At 37.9% G+C, this 25,194-nt stretch overlaps 1 protein-coding gene across 57 annotated transcripts in view; it reads right to left on the reverse strand.

The window, feature by feature from the left end:
- RBFOX2 (RNA binding fox-1 homolog 2) overlaps positions 1-25,194 on the reverse strand; it is a 290,089-nt gene that overhangs the window by 32,179 nt on the left and 232,716 nt on the right. For 29 of the 57 annotated variants that reach the window (NM_001394111.1, NM_001394110.1, NM_001394115.1 and 26 more), the window contains 2 exons: positions 10,686-10,829; positions 7,111-7,164 (listed from right to left, as the gene is read on the reverse strand). In NM_001394111.1, coding sequence (NP_001381040.1) covers positions 7,111-7,164; positions 10,686-10,829 — 198 coding nt within the window. Of the gene's footprint in view, positions 1-7,110; positions 7,165-10,685; positions 10,833-25,194 lie in introns of all 57 variants that reach the window. The other 28 variants (NM_001394114.1, XM_005261430.3, NM_001349999.2 and 25 more) reach the window with 3 other exon arrangements.

A 25,194-nucleotide genomic window follows, 5' to 3' on the forward strand; every position in this document is an offset into this window, starting at 1 on the left:
ATCAAGATACCAAAAACATAAAAATAAAGCAATCTTTATAAGCATCTTTTCCCTGGGGTGATAGGAGGAAGAAAGCCTTGTTGATGTTTTGGGACTCTTTAATATGAAACATAAAGGTAAGAAGATTTCTTTCTTTGCTTTGAAGATAAACAGACTTTGCAATAGGCCAAATAATGGCTTCCCAAAGTTGTCCACATCCTAATCCCCAGAGCCAGTGAATATGTTACCTTACACGGCAAAAGGGATTTTGCAGATGCGATTAAGTTAATGATCTTGAGATAGAGAGATTATCCTGGATTATCCAGTTGGGCCCAATGTAATACAGTGTTCCAACGTGGCCACTGTACTGTGCTTATAAGTGAAAAGCGGACACAGGAGAGTCCGAATCAGAGTAAAGCAGCCTGAGAAAGACTTGACTGGCCATTGCTGGCTCTGAAGACAGAAGGGAGCTATAGTCCAAGAAATGTGGGCAGCCTCTAGAAGATAGAAAAGGGGAGAAAACAGATGATCCCTTAGAGCCTCCTGAAGAACCCAACACGTTGATTTTAGCCTTGTGAGAGCCATTTTGGACTTCTGACCTCCAGAGCTGTAAGATAATAAATGTGTGGTTTTAAGCCACCCGACTTGTGGTAATCTGTTCAGAAGTCATAGGGAATTAATACATACCTCTTAGAATTAAAGTCCATGATTAGGAAAGTGAGAGGTATGACTAGAATTTTTGAAGTACTGTTCTTAAATACTTTTCTCTCATGTTTAAACTTTAAACAGGTGATTTTCCATCAACCCAAACATGCTTCCTTATCTATCACATTCACAATTTAGTTTCAGTAACATGAACTCAGATCTTAAAATATTTTTAGAATATACTATTTCTTCAATAAAATTTAGCATTTTAGAAAAGGTGCCAGAAACAGTGCTAAAGATGTTCACAGATTATCCAGGTTTAAAAGTTATCAGTAGAAAAGTCTGCTTACATGAACTCATGTTTTGTCACTTCACTCTTAGAAATTGAATTGACATTAAGTTGGTCATTCTGATCTCTTGCTTTGGAAAAAAAAGTCAGTAAAATTATGTCTAAATCTAAAGTATTTTCCTTAGAACAGCTTCCAAATGATCATACAACCTATCAAACACTGAACCAGTCTACACCGGTATAATATATGTAACAAATAGATTATATAATCTGTAACAAACAGATTTAATCTCAAATTCTGAACAAGAGGAAATATTTCAGCTATGTAAACAGATGGAGAATTTTTGTTATCTAAACTTCTATTCATAAAATCAGATTTTAAAAAAGTAAACTTTAATTTTTAATTAAAAAATGATTTTGACATGTTTGTCTACACTAGCACTGCAGACAGAAATATAATACAAACCACATATATAATTTAAAATTTTCTAATAACCACATTTAAAAAGTAGAAACAGGTGAGATTAATTTTAACAATGTATTTTATTTAACCCAATATAAACACATATTATTAACATTTCAATATGGTATTAATATTAAAACATTATTAGTGAGATGCTTAACATTCTTTTTTTGTGCTAATTCTGAAATCTGGTGTCCATTTTACCCTTACAGGCACACCTCCGTTTAAACTCTCCAAATTTCAAGTGCTAAATGTGACCACTGTGCTGGGCAATGCAGGTCTCTACACTTTATACTCCTCTAAGTTTGCAGTCCTCAGAGCCCTTCTATATTAAACATTTAAACACACCAGTGTTACATTAGTGATTTACCAGGTATCTTAGCTGACTTCTGGAAATTGAAGAATGGTGTATTTATTAGGTGTATGGTTGTAGTTAAAACTTCTACAAAGTGTGACAGCAATTTCACAGCCTGCCTTTACATCATCGAGGACATATAGGAGCCAAGTAACTGTCACCTTTTTAGTCTGGCCTCAGACTGCAATAAATAACTAGCAATAGAATGAACATTGTAAAAATATTATTAAAATTTGTATAATTTTTGAATTTTTCGATCTCAGAAGAATGAGAAAGAAAATTTACCATGTAACTTTTAAGGGAGAAATCAAAAGCAGACAGATCTCCTGGGTATGGCCAGAACACAGAAATTTAAAAATAAATAAAAAAAATATAAAACTAAAGCCCATAATGGTAACAAAAGAAAAAAAAAAAACAAACTAAGCCCTTCAGAAACACATGCACTGTTAATTCTGTTTTAAATATAATAAAAACCATTTCACTTTGACATTACCTATTAAGTTTTACTGAAAGTCAAAAGGCCTACTTACTGTGACTTCCAAAAAAGTATTTTGATAATATTTTGAAAGAAATAAATAATTTCCCTTTGCATGAAATTAAAAGCCATGATAATAGGGAAAACATTACAGCAAATTACTTGTGTCTAAGGAATGGGAATAGAAGTTTTATCTCCCCTAACTACAGCCTAAACTTAAGCCCAACCTAAACCTAGATCCCCATTATTCCAGAAATCTACCTGAGAGAAGTAATGAGAACACATTAAGTAAACATTTGCTAGAATAATTAGAATGTTCCTAGCATAAAGAAAAGATAAATATTTAAGGTGATGGCTATCCCAATTACTCTGATTTGATTATATGAATGTATCAGATTATCACATATACCCTGAAAATATGTACATCTAATATCTATCAATTTTTAAAAAAGAAAAAAAATTGCTAGAAATCTAAATAATTATTGCTGGGCTGTATAATATTTGTAGTCCTTTAGTAGACTTAATAATGAGCACTATCTGAAGAGCTGAACAACTTCAGCATATTCAATATTTTAATACATATCCATTCAATAGAGGATATACCAAAGTATTTTGGCAAAAACTTATAGAAAATGTAAATGTTACAATCTGTGTATTTCTTTATTTAATAAGCTTGATAATTATCACCAAAAATTGTTATGTGGTTGGATGATGGTGAGTAAGATGGTAGAAAGTCTGACCCACAATGGAATAACTTTTGAATAAAACAAGTTCTTAATCACTAAAAGTTTCTAGCAGAGAATGCAAGGTCAAGAATACAGGGGGCTGAACTAGGTGACCATTTTGGGTTATGTTTTAAGGTTCTATATGAGAAAATAAGACTAGAAGGATACATGAGAATATCACTAGTGCACATTTCTCTTTAATAAACTATGTATTTTTTTCTTTATACTTTTCATTAAGCATCATGTTTTCCTTTTCAAAGACTGCTTTTTTAAGATGTTACCCAAAGCATATATAAGGAGAGTAAATAGTTTATCATTCAAACTGGGACATTCTGAGAGAGAAAGGGGTCATTTATTAATAATTATGCTAAGATAACAGGTGTAAATTGAGGCTAGCCTGGATAAGCCAGGAAATATGGTCACTCTAGGCATTATCTTATTATTTGTGTTAATAATCTGTCATTACTGGTGAAATCTGGAGAATTAACAAAGCTACATAAACTCATATAATAATTTTCTAGGTTCTATATGAATAAATTAGTTAATTTTTTGGCAGGAATACCACTTTCCATCATATATCTTAATAGTACATTTTTAAAAGCCTAGTCTATCTCTGTTTCAGTTAATCAAAGAAACTTAGATACAGGTGATTCTATGTTTTTATAAAGGATTAGGGAGTAAAAAGACTAAAATTCACATGAAATAATTTAAATATATATGTATGCACGTGTGTGCACAAATATGATATATATTCATTCTATAATCTAAGTAAGCCAAATCTAGAATATGAAGGCAAAAGAAGGAAAAAAGGAAAAAACTAGTCAACAACTAAGAAAAAACTACTATAGAGTAATTCTACTTTAAAGGCAAGCTGGAAAAAGAAGAATACTGGCAGACAAGGAGGGCATGAGCATGGCAGTGGAACACCGTTTACTTATGTTTTCAAATGGGTATATCCTAAAACCCTGGGTGATGGTCTTATTATACAAAATAAGATATGGTATGGAGTTGCTTTTTGCTTTGGAACAATTTGATTAAACCCTGTTTTACATTAAGTATTGCTATCTTAGAGTTATTTTGTGACTAGTTTTTCCATTACTGCTCTAAAAAAATTCAATAAAGCTAATTTCTGTACAGAAAAGCACTCTGTTTAAAAGTTAGAGGAACTCTTAGCTAAACAATAGGACTATATAAAGCCTCCTTTTCTCTGGTTATTTTCAAAATACGCTGTAATTTTACAGTCAACCCCAAACATATAAAAGGATTAAGAAACTAAACTTAATTCACAAAACAAAAAGTGCTCATTAATTTCTCTTAGGTGGATCCCAGAGGAGGCATCCATGGGTTTGATTCCAAAATAAATCTCTATTAGGAGCCTCAGAACAGTTCCAAGGGCACCCATTCCAGCAAATAACTTTAGGTAGCAGTTAAGAAAGCTTCAAAGGACAAAAACAAGGTTTTGTATCAGTCCTTGAAGGCAGATTCAGGGCAATTCTGAATTCTATGCTTTGTTTTTAAAACATTTACCAATTAGTACACAGTCTGTGCACCCTTTAGCAGCCCAAAGAAAAATGGGGCAGTGAGGACACAGCATCAAGCTGACAGAAGCAGCCTATGCTTTTAGATTTCTCAAAGAGAAAGCTCATGTCATTACTTTCAAATGAGTTACATGAGAGAAGTAATTGGATCAGGTAAATTTAAAAAAATGTGGGGCCAGGATGCAGTGGCTCACACCTGTAATCCCAGCACTGTGGGAAGCCAAGGCAGGCAGATCACTTGAGACCAGGAGTTTGAGACCAGCCTGGCCAACATGGTGAAACTCTGTCTGTACTAAAAATACCAAAAATTAGCTAGGGGTGGTAGTGTGCGCCTGTTATCCCAGCTACTCGGGAAGCTGAGGCACAAGAATTGCTTGAACCCAGGAGGCGGAGGTTGCAGTGAGTCAAGACTGTGCCAATGCAACTTTAGCCTGGGCAACAGAGCGAGAATCTGCCTCAAAAAAAAAAAAAAAAAAAAGAAAAGAAAAGAAAAGAAAAAGAATTGGTAGCAGGCAAATCCTTAAAGTCAATGAAAGAAGCCTTAAGAAAGATCAATTTCCTTTGCTTCACAATAATTCAAACAAATTATTTTCTTGGTAAGGAGTAAGTCCTCAATGCCTGATGAAACTACATTGGCCTTCTAGTTGTTAGATTCTAGTTAAGAATATTTTAAGTACATACACTTAACAACTAAAAATATTTAAAACTACTTCAGATAGTAGTTTACAGAGTGGCCAAAAATCTCCACATATTTATTTTACATTCATGTGCTTCTTATCTCTAAACCACTGTCATTTTCCCACCTTGTAGCTAAAAAAGATCACATAAAATAAACACAAACAATGCAACAAAGGAACAGAAATCCATCGTGAGAAAAATTATAAGCATAAATAGTTTACTGGTTGCAGTCTGAATAGACTTCACTTTAAAAAATACTTACCAAGTGCTGGAGAAAGTTCTGTATAGGCATATTAATCATTTTTGTTTTAACTGAAAACTGGAAGCTTAGAGTATAATTACCCCTTTAATAGTTAACAAATAATTGTTATAGTCAGGATTAAACACTTTTAGTGTTGATACATTCTACAAAGGAAGGGAATAATAATAAGTAGCATTAGAACAGCACATACATTTTTAAGTGTACAGATGGGGACAGGAGGTATATAAACTCTGTTATCAATTCCCAAAGTATGGTGAATTTGGAGTATGAAATTGGAGAGGTAAATATTAGCTCATTTATTGGCTTTATTTAGCTTTCCCTCAAATTACATGTTTAAGAGATTTAACCATAGCCAAAAGCTATTTTCAAAGTTCAGCAGAGATGACCAAATGAAAATTAACTAAAAAATTGCTCTAACCTAACAAATGAAAGTAGCAACAGCAAGGTAAATATTTATAGGCTTGGCTATGGCTGATGGTTTCAGTAGGATGTATTTCATTTAATAAGCAGTGAGAAAACTCTCAAGTAACATGTGCAAATATTCAGTTCATCAAATACTTTTTTTTTTTTTCACAACACCACTGTAAGTCTTTGCCATTCCCTTGTTCTTAAAAACATTGCTGTTTCTTTTAATGCATGGAAATTCTAAATCATACAGATTGGGAATTTAAAATAGTAAATAGGGGAAATAATTTTTTTTTTTTTTTTGAGACAGTCTTGCTCTGTCACCCAGGCTGGAGTGCAGTGGCGCAATCTCGGCTCACTGTAACCTCTGCCTCCTGGGTTCAAGTGATTCTCCTGCCTCAGCCTCCCGAGTAGCTGGGATTACAGGCGTGTGCCACCAGGCCTGGCTAATTTTTGTATTTTTAGCAGAGACAGAGTTTCACCATGTTGGCCAGGCTGGTCTCGAACTCCTGACCTCAGGTGATCCGCCCGCCTCAGCCTCCCAAAGTGCTGGGATTACAGGCGTGAGCCACTGCGCCCAGCCTAATAGGGGAAATAAATTTTAATTAAAAATTTCAGTTCTTATATAGAACACATTTAGAGGAAAATACACACGTAAAAGTACACACTTACTACTTTCATTCTTATGCAAAAAAAACTAACTCACTGTATTTGTGATTTAGGTGACTCTACATCCTGAGGATTGCCTATGTGGGTAGAACTTAAGGAAATCAGTTCATACTGAATTCCTCAGTTATTGCTCACTCTGTTTAAGTCTTGTCACAATTTTCAAAAGAGACTGCAAGTTAACTGAATAATCAAAACATTAAATTTGTTCTAAGTATGCTGTTTTGAAGTTGGATTTTGGTTGAATTGTTCTGATAGAATTCAGAATAGAATTCTCATAGAATTTCACTTTATTTAGTCTTTGCACTTTTCCTTTAAACGGAGAAAGCTGAGGCCGAATTTAAGGCTCATAAAGCACTGTCATCTCCTACATCCTGTGTTCTTTACGTCCCACTCTTCCCTCAACCTTCTCTGCTTCTTACTTCATCACCCTTCCACCCCCATATAAGTATCAGAATAAAGTTTGGCCATGTGGTAGCTTATTTTTAGAGATAATCTAAACCAAGGTGGATAATTAGGATACTTTTATGCAGGCTTGAAAACAGCTTATGTTTTCTGAATACTTGCTATTTAAAATAACATAAAACTCAAAAAGAAATCAAGCACACTTGACACTGAAATGGAGCTTACCTTAGAGCCACGTTCATTAAAGATTATTTCTACATCTAGGATTTTGCCAAACTGCTGCAGAGATAAAAATAAAAACGTTTACTTATGGTCAGGTTTTTATCCACATATTTTGTTATCTTCTGAAATGGGAATAGTTTATTTTTCTTCTTCAGTAAACTACTTATTTAACTTCTATGTTTGTATTTGTTAGTAAGTTCCAATACCAGTTTCTGATTTTTCCTCGTCACTGAGCTGACAGTTTATCCACCTGTGTGTGTGGAAGCTGTTGTCCAAAGTTATTCACAGTGTTAGCCCATTAGATACTTCATGTGGACAAGAACCTGGAATTTTCCTAACTACATCTCTTAGTTTTTAGAACAGTCTCAGATTTAAAAAGCAAATCCTAGTAAGTAGAATAATATACTATAGAAGGCTGTTACCCTCCTTTTTTTTACACAAGCAAAGTATATTCACTATATAAAAAGCAGAAAATATAAACAAAAGGAAAAGGGAAAACAGAAAATAAAGATAATCTGCAATCCTATCATCGTAATGCTTTAGTACACAGCATTCCAGGCTTTCCCTCAGGCATGTAGAGATAAGTAACTATAGACATCAGATGCATTCTATAATTTGCTTTAAAAAAAAAAAAAGATGGAGTCTTGAACTGTCACCCAGGCTGGAGTCCAGTGGCACGATCTTGGCTCTCTGTAACCTCTGCCTCCTGGATTCAAGCTATTCTCCTGCCTCAGCCTCTTGAGTAGCTGTGATTACAGGTGCCTGCCACCACGTCCAGCTAATTTTTGTATTTTTAGTAGAGAGGGGGTTTCACCGTGTTGGCCAGGCTGGTCTCGAACTCCTGACTTCATGTGATCTGCCTGCCTCAGCCTGCCAAAGCATATATTGCTTTTATTTTTTAACTTAGCAATAGATTGTGAACAACTATCCGAATCAATATATAACTGTGTTACCACTTCTATAGGCTACATGCTATTCACCACTTTAATATTTCTACAATAACATCAAGAATATTTTAAATAACCACTCTCTTTGGTAATTCTTTAAACATTTTAACATTCAGAAAAGCAAACAAAAACTAAAGACACGAAGCCTAAACTCTACTGTTAGGTAGCTAAATAGCTGACTAGAGGGTTACACAAAACACAATGATTATTTAGGGGGAAAGTATATATAAAAAGAGACAAAACTGTTTTAATCAATGCTTGGATGAAATGAATTGAAGGTATATGCAGAAAATTTCCAGATATCTTTTTGGCTTATATTTCCCTCTGAGTATTGGAGTCATACCTGATTATCTACTTCACTTGGGTTTCAAACCAGACTTTGGGAAATGTGAAAAAAAACTGAAAAATGGAAAGAGCAAAACAGAAATCATGCTGTTCCATTGGACTGAATCACCTACTATCTTTATCAAAAAACTTGTATTAATAACCCAAGTTTTCTACAGTAAGACATCTTGGTTTGGTTTAATAGAAGAATCACGGAAAAAGGAAAATGTTTTATTTTAGATGGGAGGGCATTTATGCTTATCCTATAAAACTAAGATTTGTATGGTGCTTTGGAGTTTGTTTTGTTTTATATTTTCTAATGCATTCTTATAATATCCTTCTGGAGTAAGGATCACACTCCTTTTATGGTTAAGACGAATGAGGCTAAAAGAAGCTATTTGTCAAGTTTATGAAGCTAATGAAATGGAGCATGGATGCCTGCTCTTTACCAACGTTACTGTTCTTCTAAGTAACAGAGAGTCACAATGTGGAAGAAAATAAAGCAACTAGGTATCTCTGGTAAGGAAAAAATTATTTCTTTTGCACTTTATGCCTTATGAGAAGGGCATAATACATTTCAAGAAGTCACTAACTGGCCTAGGCAGATCTGCAATGGACACTATTTCTCTGACTCAAGAGAAAACACACTTCTGGCAGATGAGAATGTACTCCATTCTCACAGACCTCCAGAGACTAAGATTTTATATAAGCTCTAATAATTCAGTAGAGAACCTAATAACTCATGCTCCCGAGAAGTTTCTTCTGCGTAACCCAAGTCCTTTATGCTGCCCTTTATTTTCTGTTGCTCTCTTCTCAGAAAAAATGGAAAATATCTGGTTACCATTTTCTGTGTAAAAGCTCTTCAAATACTTCAAGAACATCATTAAATCTCAACTCTGGCCTTCTCTTTAGTGCGGAAAATACATCCAAGTAGTCAGCTATAAATGACAGAATTTTGCCCCAGTGTCTTGTCACCGTGAAGTGGCCACAACCAAGACTTAAAGAAGAGCATCTGCTTTTCTAATAAAGTACCAGGCAGCTATCCTAGTGGAATTTAAAAAAGAAAACAAACAAACAAAAAAAAAAAACAAAAAAACTATTGATTATCTCTGGGTTAAGAGTTTGGTCAAATTCAAAAAGCAATAACAAGCAGGCTCAGAAAAAATTAAGATCCTTAGCAGCCATTCACTAACTTCCCAACAACTCAAATCTTTGCAATTTAACTTTTTTTCATGATGGTGATTCAGGAGGAAATAAACAGTTGAAAGAATACATCAGAGGTAGCAAACCAATCCTCTACAATGATTTTAGATATTGGTCTTGACACTGTGCAGTATGAGCAACAACGTATTATAAAAACAAAACACTGAGGTACTGTTTTCACAAATGTTATTTCATTTAATTTATAACACTCTGAAAGGTAGACATTACTGTCTCTATGTTTATAAATATGATATTTAAATTCAAAAAGGTTACATGAATTCCAAAGTTCACATGCGAATAGAATTTGAACCCAGGCTCTTTGACTCCAAAATCTATACTCTTTCCACTTCAATAAGCCACCTCTAAACCTGTATTCTCTACATTGTGAATCTTTTTAGACATTACAAAGCTAAGTAGAGAGTGGCAATAACGCATCCCTGAACCTAGTTTCTTTGGTCTTGGAGTTGAGGGAGATAAGAGGAGAGGAAGGCAGTATTGAGCTGGACTTATATGGAAGGTAAAGAAAAAACAAAGAAGGCGACAGGATGAATAAGCAATGGTTCCCAAACTTATGTGCACATTAGTATCAGCTGGGGATTTTGTAAACATACCAAAGCCCAAGCCACACTCCAGGCCAATTAAATCACAACCCTAGAATGTCAGGCATAGGCATCAATATTTTTTAAGCTTCCCAGGTAATTTCCAGTGTGCAAACAAGTTTAGGAATCATTGCTCTAAAAGAATGTGCATGTTTGTTCTTGCAGATGAAACTAAGCATATTATTGGTATGTTTACTGAGTTTGGTAGGTGAGTAGGGTGACCATCCTGGTTTCAGCACTGAAAGTCTCACATCACAAGAAACCCCTCAGTCACAGCAAGCTGGGTCATATCGCCACCTTATGTGTGCAGCCACCTGCAAGACTATGTCTAGAGCAGACTGGATGACAGAAAAAGGCTTCTAAAGACTGATGAAAAGACTGATTTACCTCAGGTTCTTTCAATCTATTTGTAGTTTAATCCTAAAGTAATAATGACTAATAACACATCTGGGGGATTAAAATCTACTTTAATTGTAAAATCCATAAAAAGACTTCAGAGACTTACCCCAAACATCTGCCGGAGGTCAGGGTCCCGGAAGCGGAAAGGAATATTAGAGACATGCAGCCGTTTCGGGGTAGATTTACTCTCTGAATTTTCACTACTTTGTGTCTGTGACTGCTGGCCGTCTGTCTGTGCTCCACCTTCTGTCTGCTAAGCAAAGAAATAAAGAATGAAAAATATACACAATTACTTTAAAATAATTAAAGTTATCCCCCCACAGCAATCATCCCCAAACAGGGTATGTTTAAGCAAAAATCACAGTAGTCCCTTCAAAGACAAAAGCAACAACAACAGCAGCAACAACAAAACACAAAGATGCTATTAATGTTCTAAATGCTACCGTCTACAAACAAAATGTTGGTGTTTTGAGTATTTATAGTATGCTAACAAAATGGGAGCTAACGAACACGGAAGTACTAAGTGACTTGCCCAAGATCACATGGAGATACATTAGGATCTGAAGATACAAAAATAGTTCCTTCATTCTTAGACTCTTAGAACTTTCTATTTTTAAGATATTTCTATTTTGAAAATAGAGTCTGTTGTACTTAGTTATGGAGGTCACTTCATTTTTTGGTCTATGATCTCAGGCTCTCTCAAGGAAATGAAATAAGGAAATATTTTTATATTTCATTCCCTCTATTAGCTCTAGAGTTACTACTACTATGTTGCCAAAGTATTATAATGATATTATTTATGAAGAGGAAAGACCTAGCAACAACTGAAGAAGCTTCTTTTTTTTGGAGACAGAGTCTCGCTCTGTCGCCCAGGCTCGAGTGCAGTGGTGCAATCTCGGGTCACTGCAAGCTCCACTTCCCGGGTTCACGCCATTCTCCTGCCTCAGCCTCCCGAGTAGCTGGGACGATAGGTGCCTGCCACCACGCCCGTCTAATTTTTTGTATTTTTGGTAGAGACGGGGTTTCACCCTGTTAGCTAGGATGGTCTTGATCTCCTGACCTTGTGATCCGCCCGCCTTGGCCTTCCAAAGTGTTGGGATTACAGGCGTGAGCCACCGTGCCTGGCCAAGAAGCTTCTTACTCTGAAACAAATCTGTACTCTCCTCCCTAACTTATGCAATTCCAGCTAACTTTAGTACAGGGGAACCCAACCTTCTGCAGCCCAGAGCAAACTGCATTGAGAGAATCTAACTGTTGGAAAAGGCTTTAGAGACCCTGACTCATCTGCTAATTAGCATAAAAATGCAAGATTTGCACATACCCACAGTTAAAGAGTATAAATGAGTGTGGGTATGCATTTATTTATTTATTTATTTTTTAATTTTTTACTTTTTGCACTCATTTTAATGGGTTGTGCATGGTAACCCAATACGCTCACACATGCACACAAGAATCACATGCAGAAATCAAAGTTTCAAGACAGGACAGCTACTGTATGTGCCTGCACTCTGTTATTTTCTAGTTTGTTTTCCTTTTTCTTAACTACCATAACCCGGTAAATTGAATTTACAACCCACTAAGAGGTCACAGCCTGAGGACCGGAAAACAGTGAACTAAACAACCTCTTTGAGCACTCTGGTGCTTCCAGAAAACCACGTTTTTGCTGCAGCATCCTCAGCACCATTCCACAAGGAGGGAGGCAACTCATCCCATGTTCCCATGTTACACAGGAGGAGACAGAACAGGGAGCTCTCCGTGGGCCACCCCATTAAGCCAGTCGGAGCACCTGGACTCAGATCTCCCAAACTTCATCTGATTTCCACTCAATCACGCTGCCTTTCCACGTGGCTTTTAAAATCATTGCTAAGCCTTGTTTCCATGATGCCACACTCAAGTTTTAAGTGAAAATATATTACAAAATAAAAACTTTTTTTTGAAACTATACTGCTGCAGAAAAAGCACACGCCAAGAGTCTGCATTTTGGGTGTGGTGGGTGGGAAAAACCTACAACATGAGGTCTACAGGGTAGCTGCTTTTCAAAAGCGAGTTTGGGGGGGCACAGCGTGGAGGGGGTGACCACTAGAATGGTCATTGAACAGTCATTTGCTGTTCTCCAATCAGGAAACTCCAGCAGCTGCAGAGAACATCCGGAATCAGAAGTGAACACCTGAATAATGACCTTCCGGGCCATAAAGATGGTCTTCTGATGAGAAAGCCAGGGCCCCCAGACACCACGTGTCCTGCATGGAATCACTGATTGGCCAATAGCAGGGCCCACAAGGAAGCCTGGAACTTTCAAGGACGGCCCCACACTACTCTAAAAATGTTTCCACCACCAATACCCGCTTGAATGGGCCCATGCCTGTAAGGAAGGCACTATCAACTCACACCAATTCCAAAGGAAGAAATCCAGGCTCAGGGGCTTCCCAGTGAAGACAGGCACACCCCCCTGAAAACCACACCCTAGACTACAATGCATGGTCCTCTGCTGGACAGACCCCGTGGCCCGTCCTCAGGATGCCAGAACAGGCTGCTCAGTGACATGCGCTGAAGCGGGCAGGGACGGGCACTGGGAGATCCTGCCTGTGCAGAAAAAGTCCTCCCAGGAAGCAAACCACATTTCCAATCTGGTGAATCACGCTCAGTAAAATAAAATCCAGGCCAATCAGCTATGCCTTCAACTCAAAAGAATCTGAAGAGTACATAAGTTAGTTACACATTGTCACCAAAGCAGTTAGGGAGAGCTTCTGATATGCTGAAAACCAAGGGAAAGGGGATGGAGATGAACAAAAATGATCTCATTAGGCCAGAGGCAGGCGAAGTCACACCACTTCTGGAAAAGTGTAACAATAAGGCAAGAACTCAGGTTCCCACGGAGAGGCACATGGGCTGAGGGTGACTGGGTGCCTGCAGGCAAATTCCTTAACCTCCCTGCCCTCCTGGCACCTCATGCCCGACATAGCCTCTGGTATTGGGAGTGGTGCGGTATCAGACAGCTGCTCTCCTTCAGGCCAGCCTTTGCTGTCCACGCAGGGAGGCAGGCAGGCAGTCAGGCAGTCATTCAGGTAGAAGACTTTCTAAGGCTTCCACTGCCCAAGGGCTGCATGGGCATCCTTCAATGAAGACAGATGCTTGGTGGTCACTATCCCCATTCTTCTTCAATCTCATCCTCCTTGTGGTTTTAGAAGCCGCGGACCAAGTCCTGCAGGTTCTTGTCGAACATGCAGTCGATGATGCCCTTCACCATCTTGAGGGCCATGGTGGTGGCCCATGGGCTTTTGCCCCGGGAGGCCCGCAGCTGGTTGCCGTGAGAGGGCCCGGGGGCCGCGACCACCGCCGGCAGATTGCTGCGTTGCCGGCCGCTGCGGTGGGGCAGGCTCCTAGGCCAGGGCGGTGGCAGGGTTTGAGGACCGTGACAGAGGTGGCGACCCACTCCACAGAGGGCGCGATCCCACTCCAGGCCTCTTGCAAAGGGTGGACATGCATTTATTTATTTTTATTTTATTATTATTTTTTTCAATTGAGACAGTGTCTCACTCTGTCCCCCAGGCTGAAGTATAATAGCGAGATCAAAACTCACTGCAGCCTCAACCTCCTGGGTTCAAGTGATCCTCCCACCTCAGCCTCCCGAATGGCTGGCACTACAGGTACGCACCATCACACCCGGCTGAATATGCATTTTTAATCATGAATCTCTTTTGCAACATCCCAGCATGCATTTATCTAATTATTTTTTTCACTAAATCCTCAAAAAAGTTATGTTGAGAAAATTTTTGATAAGTATCTAACAGGTGTGACACATTCTAGGCATGCAATTTTGAAGTATTCATCTGGCAATCGAAGAGCCTTGTGTTTTTACTATTCCCTATGAAGTGCATGCCAAACCCGATGGCTTGCTGAGCTGATTAAACCAACATACTTTTAAAACAGGAGTGGAACTTGCTGTTCTTATTCTCTCAAATGAGATAGAAGTGAGTCCCCAACAGATTCTTCTAGGTGACAGGATGCATCCCCTCCCTTTGACTTTCAGGCTAAAAGAAGCTGTGAATCAGAGATACTTCTGGCTCAGAGATGTTGGCAACCATCTTGAAATGAAGTTTGAAACTTTAAAATATAAAGGATAATCAGGAATAAACTCCAAATGAATAACAGCTTTTCAAGTGTCAATTTAAGTGATGGCAGCTTTTTATCTCATTCCATTCAGGCCTTGCAGATGGCTTAAATGTGCAATGATTCATGTGATATAAAAATAGCAGAAAAGGGAAGAGCTATGAAGCAATGTTCTGTGAAAGTGTACGGTTTTCAATTATCAGTCTTGGCACAATGCAGACTAAGTAACACAAATCCCATTTAAAGATGAAACTCACTAAGTTACTAAAACAGCATCAAGCAAACCAACACGCAGTCAAAGCAACAAGCATCAATTACAACTAATGCTCATTCAAGCACCTTCAAACTTGCCTCTTAACATCTCACAGTTGGATCACATGAAACTTTATCTTCAATCAAACTTTAAAACCACCAGATCTGGTCTGCAAGATGACAATGTATCACTCTGAGGAAAGTTAAAAAGACTGATTCCACAAACTCCAAATTACACTTTTACATATAACTTTATATGTAGCCCATGTAATCTGTCACAGTGTATGTGAAGTGGCAGGATAAATGAAAACTAATGATTACTTCAAAGTATGTTGCCCAAGGTGCTTATCTGTAGCTCTTCATAGTTCTTTGCTTCTCTGAAGACACAATTTAAGATCAGAAGCAAGACTGGTTAATTTTGCAGCTTGTAGTGAACACCCGTCCCCCTTGTTTTTAAGTATGAAATCTTTAATTCTAAGTCGATCTGCCATGTAGAAAAAAGTGACCTATCATTTCCTAAATTCTCAAGACTTCTGATCTAATGCAATTTTTAAATTGAAGTTTAACATACATAGATAAAAATACATAAATTATAAGCATAGAGCTGAATATTCACAATGAAACGTACACCCATGTAACCACCAAATTAGATCAAGAAACAAGATACCAGAAGCACCCTGGGGGGCCCCCACCAGTCACGGTTCCCCTGGCAAAGGGTCACGAGGATCCTGACTTCTAACTCTAGGCCTCCCAAAGTGCTGGGATTACAGGCGTGAGCCACAGCGCCTGGCCTGGAGTGCATGTTCTTAGCCATTATATTGTACTTTACATATATTATTTTCTTTAACCCTCACAATAACTCTGTGAAACAGGTACTACCATTATCTCCAACTGACAGAGGAAGATGCTAAGTGCAGAGATGTTCAGTTAGTTGTCCAAGGTCACACAGTAAGCAGCAGACTAGGAATTCAAAACTAGGCAGCCCAATTTCATATGTGAAATCACTTCCTTTCTAGCACTGTACCCATCCTCTCTTCTTCTCATTAGAAACGAGAACCCATACGAACCCCACCCCTCTCTTACCTTCTTAGGACTCTCATCTCATGCAGCAAGAGTCTCCGGGAGTGGAGACAGGCATGGGTAAGAGACACGGAAGGCTACACTAGAGGTGACATGGGTTCTATACCTTTTTAAATTTTTTTGAGTAAGGGTCTCCCTCTGTCGCCCAGGCTGGAGTGCAGTGTGGCAATCTCAGCTCGCTGCAACCTCCACCTTCTGGGTTCAACTGATCCTCCTGCCTTAGCCTCCCAAATAGCTGGGACTACAGGTGCGAGCCACTACACATGACTAATTTTTATATTTTTTGTAGAAATGGGGTTTTGCCATGTTGCCAGGCTGGTTTGAACTCCTGAGCTCAAGCGATCTGCCTGCCTCAGCCTCCCAAAGTGCTAGAATTATAGGCATGAGCCACTGTGCCTGGCTAGGTTCTATACCTTGAGGAAAGAGAAATAGGTCAGGCTATGCAGAGAAAGGGAAAGGAAAGGGAGAGAAAAGAAAACCAGCAAAGGGATGCTGACATTTAATTAGGAAAAAAGCCAAAGAACTACTAAACTGATACAGGGACTTAAAAGTGGTTTTCTGTACAGAGTAGAAATAGGAATAGAAAATATTGGTCATACTATATTAACGTACTTAAATGAGATCTTATCTCACAACTGGGACATTCTCACTTTAAATTTATCCCAATACAGACTACTAATTGCTGAAATATATAAATCAGAGAGAAAAAGGGAAATAAAAGTTTTTAAGTCTTATCTTTGTGAAAAGTGGACAGTTAAAATTGATCTAAGAAAAATCTCAGTCTACAACAGCACTGGTCTGCATTATTTTCTCTTGCTAGCTGCTGAGCACCTTTACTGACCATATAAACAACTTTCCAAGGTTGTGGTTTTCCCTTTTGTGGTCATTATCCGACCTAACGTATCCACTGGGCAAGGCATAAAACAGAAGAGGCTGGATGGAGTCCGTTCACCGACAGTTTAGAGTGAGGACTAGCGGCAGTGCTGGCCTGATGCAATCATATGGCTAAAACCTATACATCTACCCTTCAAACAACTCATCTTCCCTGGTGCAGCTGAGCTAGCCATCAACACTGCACAGGAGGTCGGCACCAATTACACTTAATAGCAAACTAGAATTTTAAGTCTCAGAATCTCATCCTAGAAATGAGGACTACAAATGTTTTCTTTTTTTGATGACTTCAAATTTTTAAAATACTTCTAACTAGGAAATTGATTGATTTTTCTGACTCTTCTATGATACAATGGAAATATTTTAACTATACATTGTCAACAAATGTTCTGTCATAATCTAAAGGGAATTCTGAGTGACACAAGATTAAGTATAACTTTCCAAGTCTATCAGATTAAGATTAAACACATACGACTCTGATATAGATACTAAGGAATCTCTTAATGAATTCAGAAATATTTTGATTTATGGATTATCCACTTTCTTCAATATTTATTTTTCCTCTTCCCCCCCGTCCCCCAATAGAAGTCTTCATTTCTTATTTTCATCTCTTTGAGGCTAACAGAGAAAAAAAGCAAAATAGGAAATTCAGTTTAGCACAGTAAATTTTTTGAGAATCTGATTCATGGCTGAAAATATCTATTTAACCATCCCAGTTTAATGATAGTTTGGCTGGTCACAGAATTATAGGTTGGAAAAAAAAATCCCTTCAGAATTTTGAAGATAACTCTCAATTGTCTTCTAGCTTTTAGCCTTGCTGCTGAGAAATCTGAAGGCATGATTCCCATCTCCTTGTATGTGACTTTTTTCTTCTCTCTTGCAGCTTGTAGGACTATCCAAATACACCTGATGTTCTAAAACAGTGTCCATAGTTATATGCCTCAGTGTGGACTTGTTTCATTTTCACCTACTTTGTGGAGAATTCTGTGGTCTCTTTCAAGATGAAAATTAATGTCCTCAGTCCTGGAAGTTTTCTTGTGTTATCGGGTGATGATTCTCACGCTACACATTTTCTTTCGGGAAGCTGTATTATTGGATCTTCTGGACCGGTCCTCTAATTTTCACATCTCTTCTCTTGTATTTCCCATCTCTGCCTTTTTGCTCCATTTTTCTGGGATATAGGTCCTTAATCTCTTATCTGAAACCTTTGCGGCCAAATGCTTATCAGAATTTTTAGAATTTTAGAAAGTTAATATAGAATATAACCCATAATGTAATACCCACCCCTCATCCCACCCACATACAATGAGATCTGAGACAGTGATATTTCTTTAGCAAAATCTATAAAGGATAGAAATAGGTTGTGTTGTAAACTTATGAAAAATATAATTTTCAGAACTTTTGGGATTTTGGAATTGTGGATAAGAGACCGTAGGCCAGGTAGAGCGGCTCACACCTGTAATCCCAGCACTTTGGGAGGCTGAGGTGGGTGGATCACCTGAGGTCACGAGTTCAAGACCAGCCTGGCCAGCATGGTGAAACCCTGTTTCTACTAAAAATAGAAAAATTAGTTGGGCGTGGTGGTGCGCGCCTGTAATCCCAGCTACCTGGGAGGCTGAAGCAGGAGAATTGCTTGAACCCAGGAGGCAGAGGTTGCAATGAGCTGAGATCGCACCATTGCACTCTAGCCTAGGCCACAGAGCAAGACTCCATCTCAAAAAAAAAGAAAAAGATGTAGACCTTTATTTTTTCAGTTTCATCTTCAAGTCAGCCAGATAAAGTTTTTCATTTTGTTGCCATGTTTTTAATTTCAAGGACTCATTTTCCTTTTCTGAAACTCAACCCCCATCCCCCAAACTAGCATTTCATTCCTGTTAATACAATTTCTTCTCTCTCTGAGCATATAAATGTAATTGTGGGGGAAAGGTCCTACTCCCTGTAACGTGGTGGTGGTGGTTGTTGTTTTGGTTTCTTTTTGTTATCTATCTTCCAAGTTGTGGGCTTTCCTGGTACCTAGTAATCATTGGTTGTCTATTCAGGACTTAAGAGTTGAGGGGGTAGGTGGCAGGTAGCTAAAAAATTTGGGAAGTCTGAGTGGGTGGAGTGGAGGCTTGGGGGACTTTGTGATTCCTTCATTCTAAGTTGTTAGGTAAGCAATTTGTTCTTTAAGTCTTCTTGAGCAAGTCAGGTTCTTCAAAAAAGTCTTCCAATCTTCTAACTGATGTCACCAGTTTCTGAACTTTTGAAATTTTTGTGGTGTAAGTAAAATTAATCTCATGTATTCAAAACTGGATCTAATAGTAACTATTTAATAAAATCTTATAGTACTGTGTGTACATGTTTTAATCAAGGCAGCAAAATAGGGCAACATAGCCTATGCTTGTTTTGAGCTGACATGTATATTCTAGGAAACATTGCTTGCTTTCAAAATAACTTTTATATTTCAAGTGAAGAAGGGCCTACGTTATAGTCATTCTCCAATGCAAACACAAAAGGTTAAGGGAGAATAAGCAGATGAAGTAGGAAATGAGATGTGGTTATCATCTAATGGCAAGTCCATAAATACAAAATTTTTTCCTTTTTCTGTTCTTTAGAGCCTAGAAGTACCTCAGATATAAGGTGAGGATTATTAAAATATTTGTGATAAGGAGACATGGCAACTAACTACAGTATGGGATTCAGAATAGAGAAAAAGACATTACTGGAAAAAATGAAATTTAAAATAAGGCCTATATTTTACCTAATAGCACTATATCAGTATTCAGTATTTCTTATTGCCTAGTTTCAAACATTCTACTATAGCTATGTAAGATGCTAACATTAGGGGAACTGGGTGAAGGGTATGCAGAAATCTTCTGCATATTTTTGCAAATTTACTGTGAATCTAAAATAATTTCATAATTAAAAGTTTTGGCTGGGTGCAATGGCTCACACCCAGGCTGGCTTTAATTCCAGCACTCTAGGAGGCCCAGGAGTTCGAGACCAGCCTGAACAACCCTGGTGAAACCCTATCTCTACAAAAAATACAAAAATTAGCCAGGAATGATGGCGTAAGCCTGTACTCCCAGCTACTTGGGAGGCTGAGGTGGGAGGATCAATTGAGCATGAGAGGTCAAGGCTGCAGTGAGCTATGATCATATCACTGCACTCCTGCCTGGGCGACAAGGCAAGACCCTGTCTCAAAACAAAAAACAAACACACACACACACAAAAAAAGCAAGCAAGGAAACAAGCAAGCTAGAAAAAAAATTACAAGTTTTAAAAAAGAAAAAAGTAGGCCTGGCGCAGTGGCTCATGCCTGTAATCCTAGCACTTTGGGAGGCCGAGGTGGGTGGATTACCTGAGGTCAAGAGTTCGAGACCAGCCTGGCCAACATGGTGAAACCTCGTCTCCACTAAAAATACAAAAATTAGCCAGGCGTGGTGGCGGGTGCTTGTAATCCCAGCTACTTGGGAGACTGAGGCAGGAGAATCACTTGAACCCAGGAGATGGAGGTTGCAGTGAGCCGAGATCGCACCATTGCACTCCAGCCTGGGCAACAGAGCAAAAACTCTGTCTCAAAAAAAAAAAAAAGAAGAAAATATTTTAGGATGTCAGGTTCTAAACCCTTAAATATTAAAACACTAAAAATGTTTAACTGGTTTAATGATTATATACAGGCACGAGTGTAAACAAATATTTATGTTTTGTATTCAAAATGTGATTGGAACTCTTATGAAACTTAGAAAGAGACTGAAAGTACATTCATTTCAAATTATTGGTTTGATGAAGAAAAAAACCCACATTTAAATCTAACATTACTATTAATCCATTTCACAATTAGAAACAGTTTAACTTGTAACTCTCATTATTTTACATACAAAAAACCAATCATATAAAGCTTCATCTCCTACTGCACTCTCTCTGAAGACATTACAGTTTTAAGAACAAAAATATCAATCACTCCTGGTTGGGCTCCATTTATTTCGAATGGGAGGGGGTGGTGATCTTCAGATAAGGTATGTAAATGAATACTTTCCATAGACTCAAATAGGTAATTTTCACAGTATTATGAAGTCAACATTTAGTGTAAGGGACATAGTTCTGAAAAATGTGTCATTCAAGAATAAGCCTATCAAAGGTCAGTAGATATTTCTATTAACTGCTCAAAGTACATCTGCCATGTGAATTACCATGCAATTCAAATAGCTTTCAAATTAGGCAACTATTGCTGGGTGTGGAGGCTCACACCTGTAATCCCAGCACTTTAGGAGGCTGAGGCAGGTGGATCACTTGAGGTTAGGAGTTTGAGACCAGCCTGGCCAACATGGTGAAACTCTGTCTCTACTAAAAATACAAAAATTAGGTAGGCGTGGCAGTGGGCACCTGTAATCCCAGCTACTTGGGAAGCTTTGGCACGAGAATTGCTTGAACCGGGAGGTGGAGGTTGCAGTGAGCCGAGATTATGCCACTGCAGTCCAGCCTGGGTGACAGAATGAAACTCCGTCTCAAAAAAAAAAAAAAAAAAAGAAAAGAAAAGAAAAGAAAAGAAAAGAAAAGAAAAAGAAAAAGAAATTAGGCAACTATTAACAAAATTTTCATTTGCAGAGATTCACACTGAATCAAAATTTGCACAAAAGTGAAACATTATTAACTTTTTATATCAGATTTCAAATCTAAATGATTTAAATTTGAATAAAATAAGATTATGACATATTTAATATTCAACGAATTGAAATGGAAACATCATAGCCTACTAAGTATTTGATATTCATTTTCTCATCTAATCTTGCAAACAACCGTAGGCGGAAGGAACTATTATCATCATTTTTACAGATAAGGAAAATGAGCATTGGAGTTCTAATTCTCTCATGGTTACACATTCAGTCAACAGAAGGAGCTGAGAGCTGAACCAGCGCAACCTGATTTACAGGCTCACACTCCCTAAACACAATATAGCCTTTTTAAAAAAATAAAAACACTTTAAAATTTTCAGTTTTTCCTTACAATATTTTACAAAGTTGGCCAGGATACTTTTCATTATGCCATTGCATAGTATCTCAAAAAACAAGAACTACAATCCATGTTAGAACATCAACCAGATTTGTTAGCACTTAAAGTACTTTTGTTTTAATTTTCTTGGAGACAGGGTCTCCCAATGTTGCCCAGGCTGGTCTCAAACTCCTGGGCTCAAGAGATTTACAGGCCTAAGCTTCCCAGGTTGCTGGGATTACAGGTGCATGCCACCATGCCTAGCTAAGCATTTTGAAAATGTTTCTAATGGGGCCGGGTGCAATGGCTCACGCCTGTAATCCCAGCACTTTGGGAGGCCAAGGCGGGTGGATCACCTGAGGTCAGGAGTTCGAGACCAGCCTGGCCAACGTGGTGAAACCCCATCTCTACTAAAAATAGAAAGAAATTAGCCAGGTGTGGTGGCAGGCGCCTGTAATTCCAGCTACTTGGAGGCTGAGGCAGGAGAATCGCTTGAACCCGGGGGGCAGAGATTGCAGTGAGCTGAAACCACGCCATCACACTCTAGCATGGGCAACAAGAATGAAACTCTGTCTCAAAAATAAATAAATCAATGAATAAAAATGTTTACGATGGAGTTCCTGATGGGTTAAAACTTGGTGGAATTAGATCATATGCATTCCTTCTCACAGAGTACAAACGCAATAACATGATAAAATATTTTTCAAAAAAGTAAAATCTTAGCCCACATGCTTAGCTACTGAAAAATCAATGTACTTCATGGTGCTAAAATAATATATAAGACAATTATAATCAATTGAATATAAAATTATTTTATCAAATATCACCACCAAAACAATTTTTTAGACACAGAAAAGTGAATTTACATTTACTTAGAGCAACTCCCTATTTAAGAATAATTACTTTTAGATTTATTTTAAAGAGAAATGCTTAAACATTTCTTCTGTGCATTTGAACACTGTTATGACAAGCTGAATTCTGAGAGTCTAATCCTGTTTGGGCATTCAAATGTAAGCTAACTTTTTTTAATAAACGAGTAATTCCATTTCTTCTGAAAATATGTGATTCCATTTTCTCAGAGTGTCAAAGTGCCACAAAAAGGAATTATGAAAGGCATCATTTGTATATGTAACATGATCATGTACTGATTATCAGTGTCACGCTGTGAAACAAAAACCACAGCAAGTCATTTTTTTAAACAGGAGTAAGAATTGTATAAAATTATATGTAACATATAAATAGTGACATGCACACAGAATATCACCTCAATTTTTTAAAACTTTATACCTGAGTGATTATTTTAACGTTCATTTAGAATGAAAGAAATTTGTTAGTATGCTCAAGCTAGAGTCCTAGGTTAAAAGTTGAAGAGTAAGTAGAAGCTAAGATGGTTAAGACTCTCTATGGATGTCTTTTTTTTTTTAAATCACCATTTGCATGGAGAAGCAGGAAAAAAGCACTTGACTGACAGCAGACTTCCTAAGGCCCAGCTCTGTAACCAGCTAGCTGTAACTTGCTCAAATCACTTAACACCACTGACCTCAGCTGTAAAAGAAGATGCTTTTAAAAATGCTTTTTAGGCCGTGCGCGGTGGCTCACACCTGTAATCCCAGCACTTTGGGAGGCTGAGGCAGGTGGATCACAAGGTCAGGAGATCGGGACCATCCTGGCTAACATGGTGAAACCCAGTCTCTACTAAAAATACAAAAAATTAGCCAGGCGTGGTGGTGGGCACCTGTGGTCCCAGCTACTCAGGAGGCTGAGGCAAGAGAATGGCGTGAACCCGGGAGGCGGAACTTACAGTGAGCCGAGATCACGCCACTGCACTCCAGCCTGGGTAACAGAGTAAGACTCTGTCTCAAAAAAAAAAAAAAGTTTTTTAGCTTTAAACTTCATCAGTTCTGATCAGAGTTTACTCATTTTCAAGAGGTAGTATAAAGTATTTATGAAAAATGTAAACAGGTTAAAAAAATTGCCCCTAAATAATCCTTACTACTTCATCATCCTTGCCCTAAGCTGTGAGAGCAGTAAGGGGCAGCGGAGCACAGCATTAACGCGCCTAGCAATTTTTTAGTTTAGTTTCCCTTGGGCATTAGGAGTAAGTAGGTAAGTAAATAAACCAAGGCATGCAAAGAGAAGAAGCAACAGTCATGGAGTTAGCAATATTAACATGTGCTGAAAGGATGTCTTGAGTCTTATATGATCCAAAGGGCAATTTTCTCTATTCAAAAATACCCATGCATAATTCTAAATTTGGTTTTCTGTGGCAACTCTCACATTCTCAAACCAGGTGATAGCTTCCTTATGGATCCAGCTTGGAAACTGCCAAACTACTCATAGACATCAAAATTTTGGAGCTAAAGGACAGATGTAATTATTTTTAAGGGTAAATTGATACAGGATATATATATTTTATGTAGGCTCAATGTACCCTGCCTTTTATTACTTTGAGGGAAAAATAAGAGCCACTCTTGGAAAAGTGGATGGCTGAATGAATAAATTCCTCCGTAGTCCAAGACCTCTACATCTAGCCTGGAAACAGAACATGCTAATGACACCTACACTGTGGGCTGAAGGTAATATAGCCCAACAATACATAGTATGATAGACTGTGGCCCCCCTTCTTCCCATTATGTTCTAGAAATACTCATTTGGGCAAATGATCCCACTGTTAAGGGCTATACCTTCTTGGCTACGTTTTAGTGCATCACTAATCTGCAAGGCACCTTCAACTGTTATCAGATAAAGAAGTCAATGGGCAATACCAATTGATAATAGAGAAGTGAAAGAAAAATTGGCTTAAACTCCAGAGAAGGGGTGTGTAGAAAAGCAAAAAAAAAAAAAAAAAAAAAAAAAATCCTCTGAGCATAATGGTCAACAGGGGCTTTCCAGTGAGGAGGGTTATAAAATCTACAGCTGACTAATATAGTAATAAAGTGGGCCACTCAGCTATTTGCTCAAATCTCTACTTTCAACTCACCAACAAATATTTCAAAGGATGCTTAGCTCTTTAGAGTATAAAATTCCAAATTCTTTGGCCTTGAATTCAAAGTCCTCTATAATTTAGCTTTATCAGCCTCTCTTATTGAGCATTATTGCTTCAGAAGAGAGCCTTCTGTTCCAACTAAAGATACTGTAAGCAAAACATCATGCTGTACAACAGTATAAATACATACAATCTTGTCAACTTAAAAAAACTTCTTAATTTTTATTTTTTAATGTTTAGCAATGGGGTCTTGCCTTGTTACCCAGGCTAGTCTCTAACTCCTGGACTCAAGTGATCCTCCCACCTCAGCCTCCCTAAGTGCTGA

Source organism: Homo sapiens, chromosome 22 (genome assembly GCF_000001405.40).
Source record: "Homo sapiens chromosome 22, GRCh38.p14 Primary Assembly".
Taxonomy (NCBI): Eukaryota; Metazoa; Chordata; class Mammalia; order Primates; family Hominidae; genus Homo; species Homo sapiens.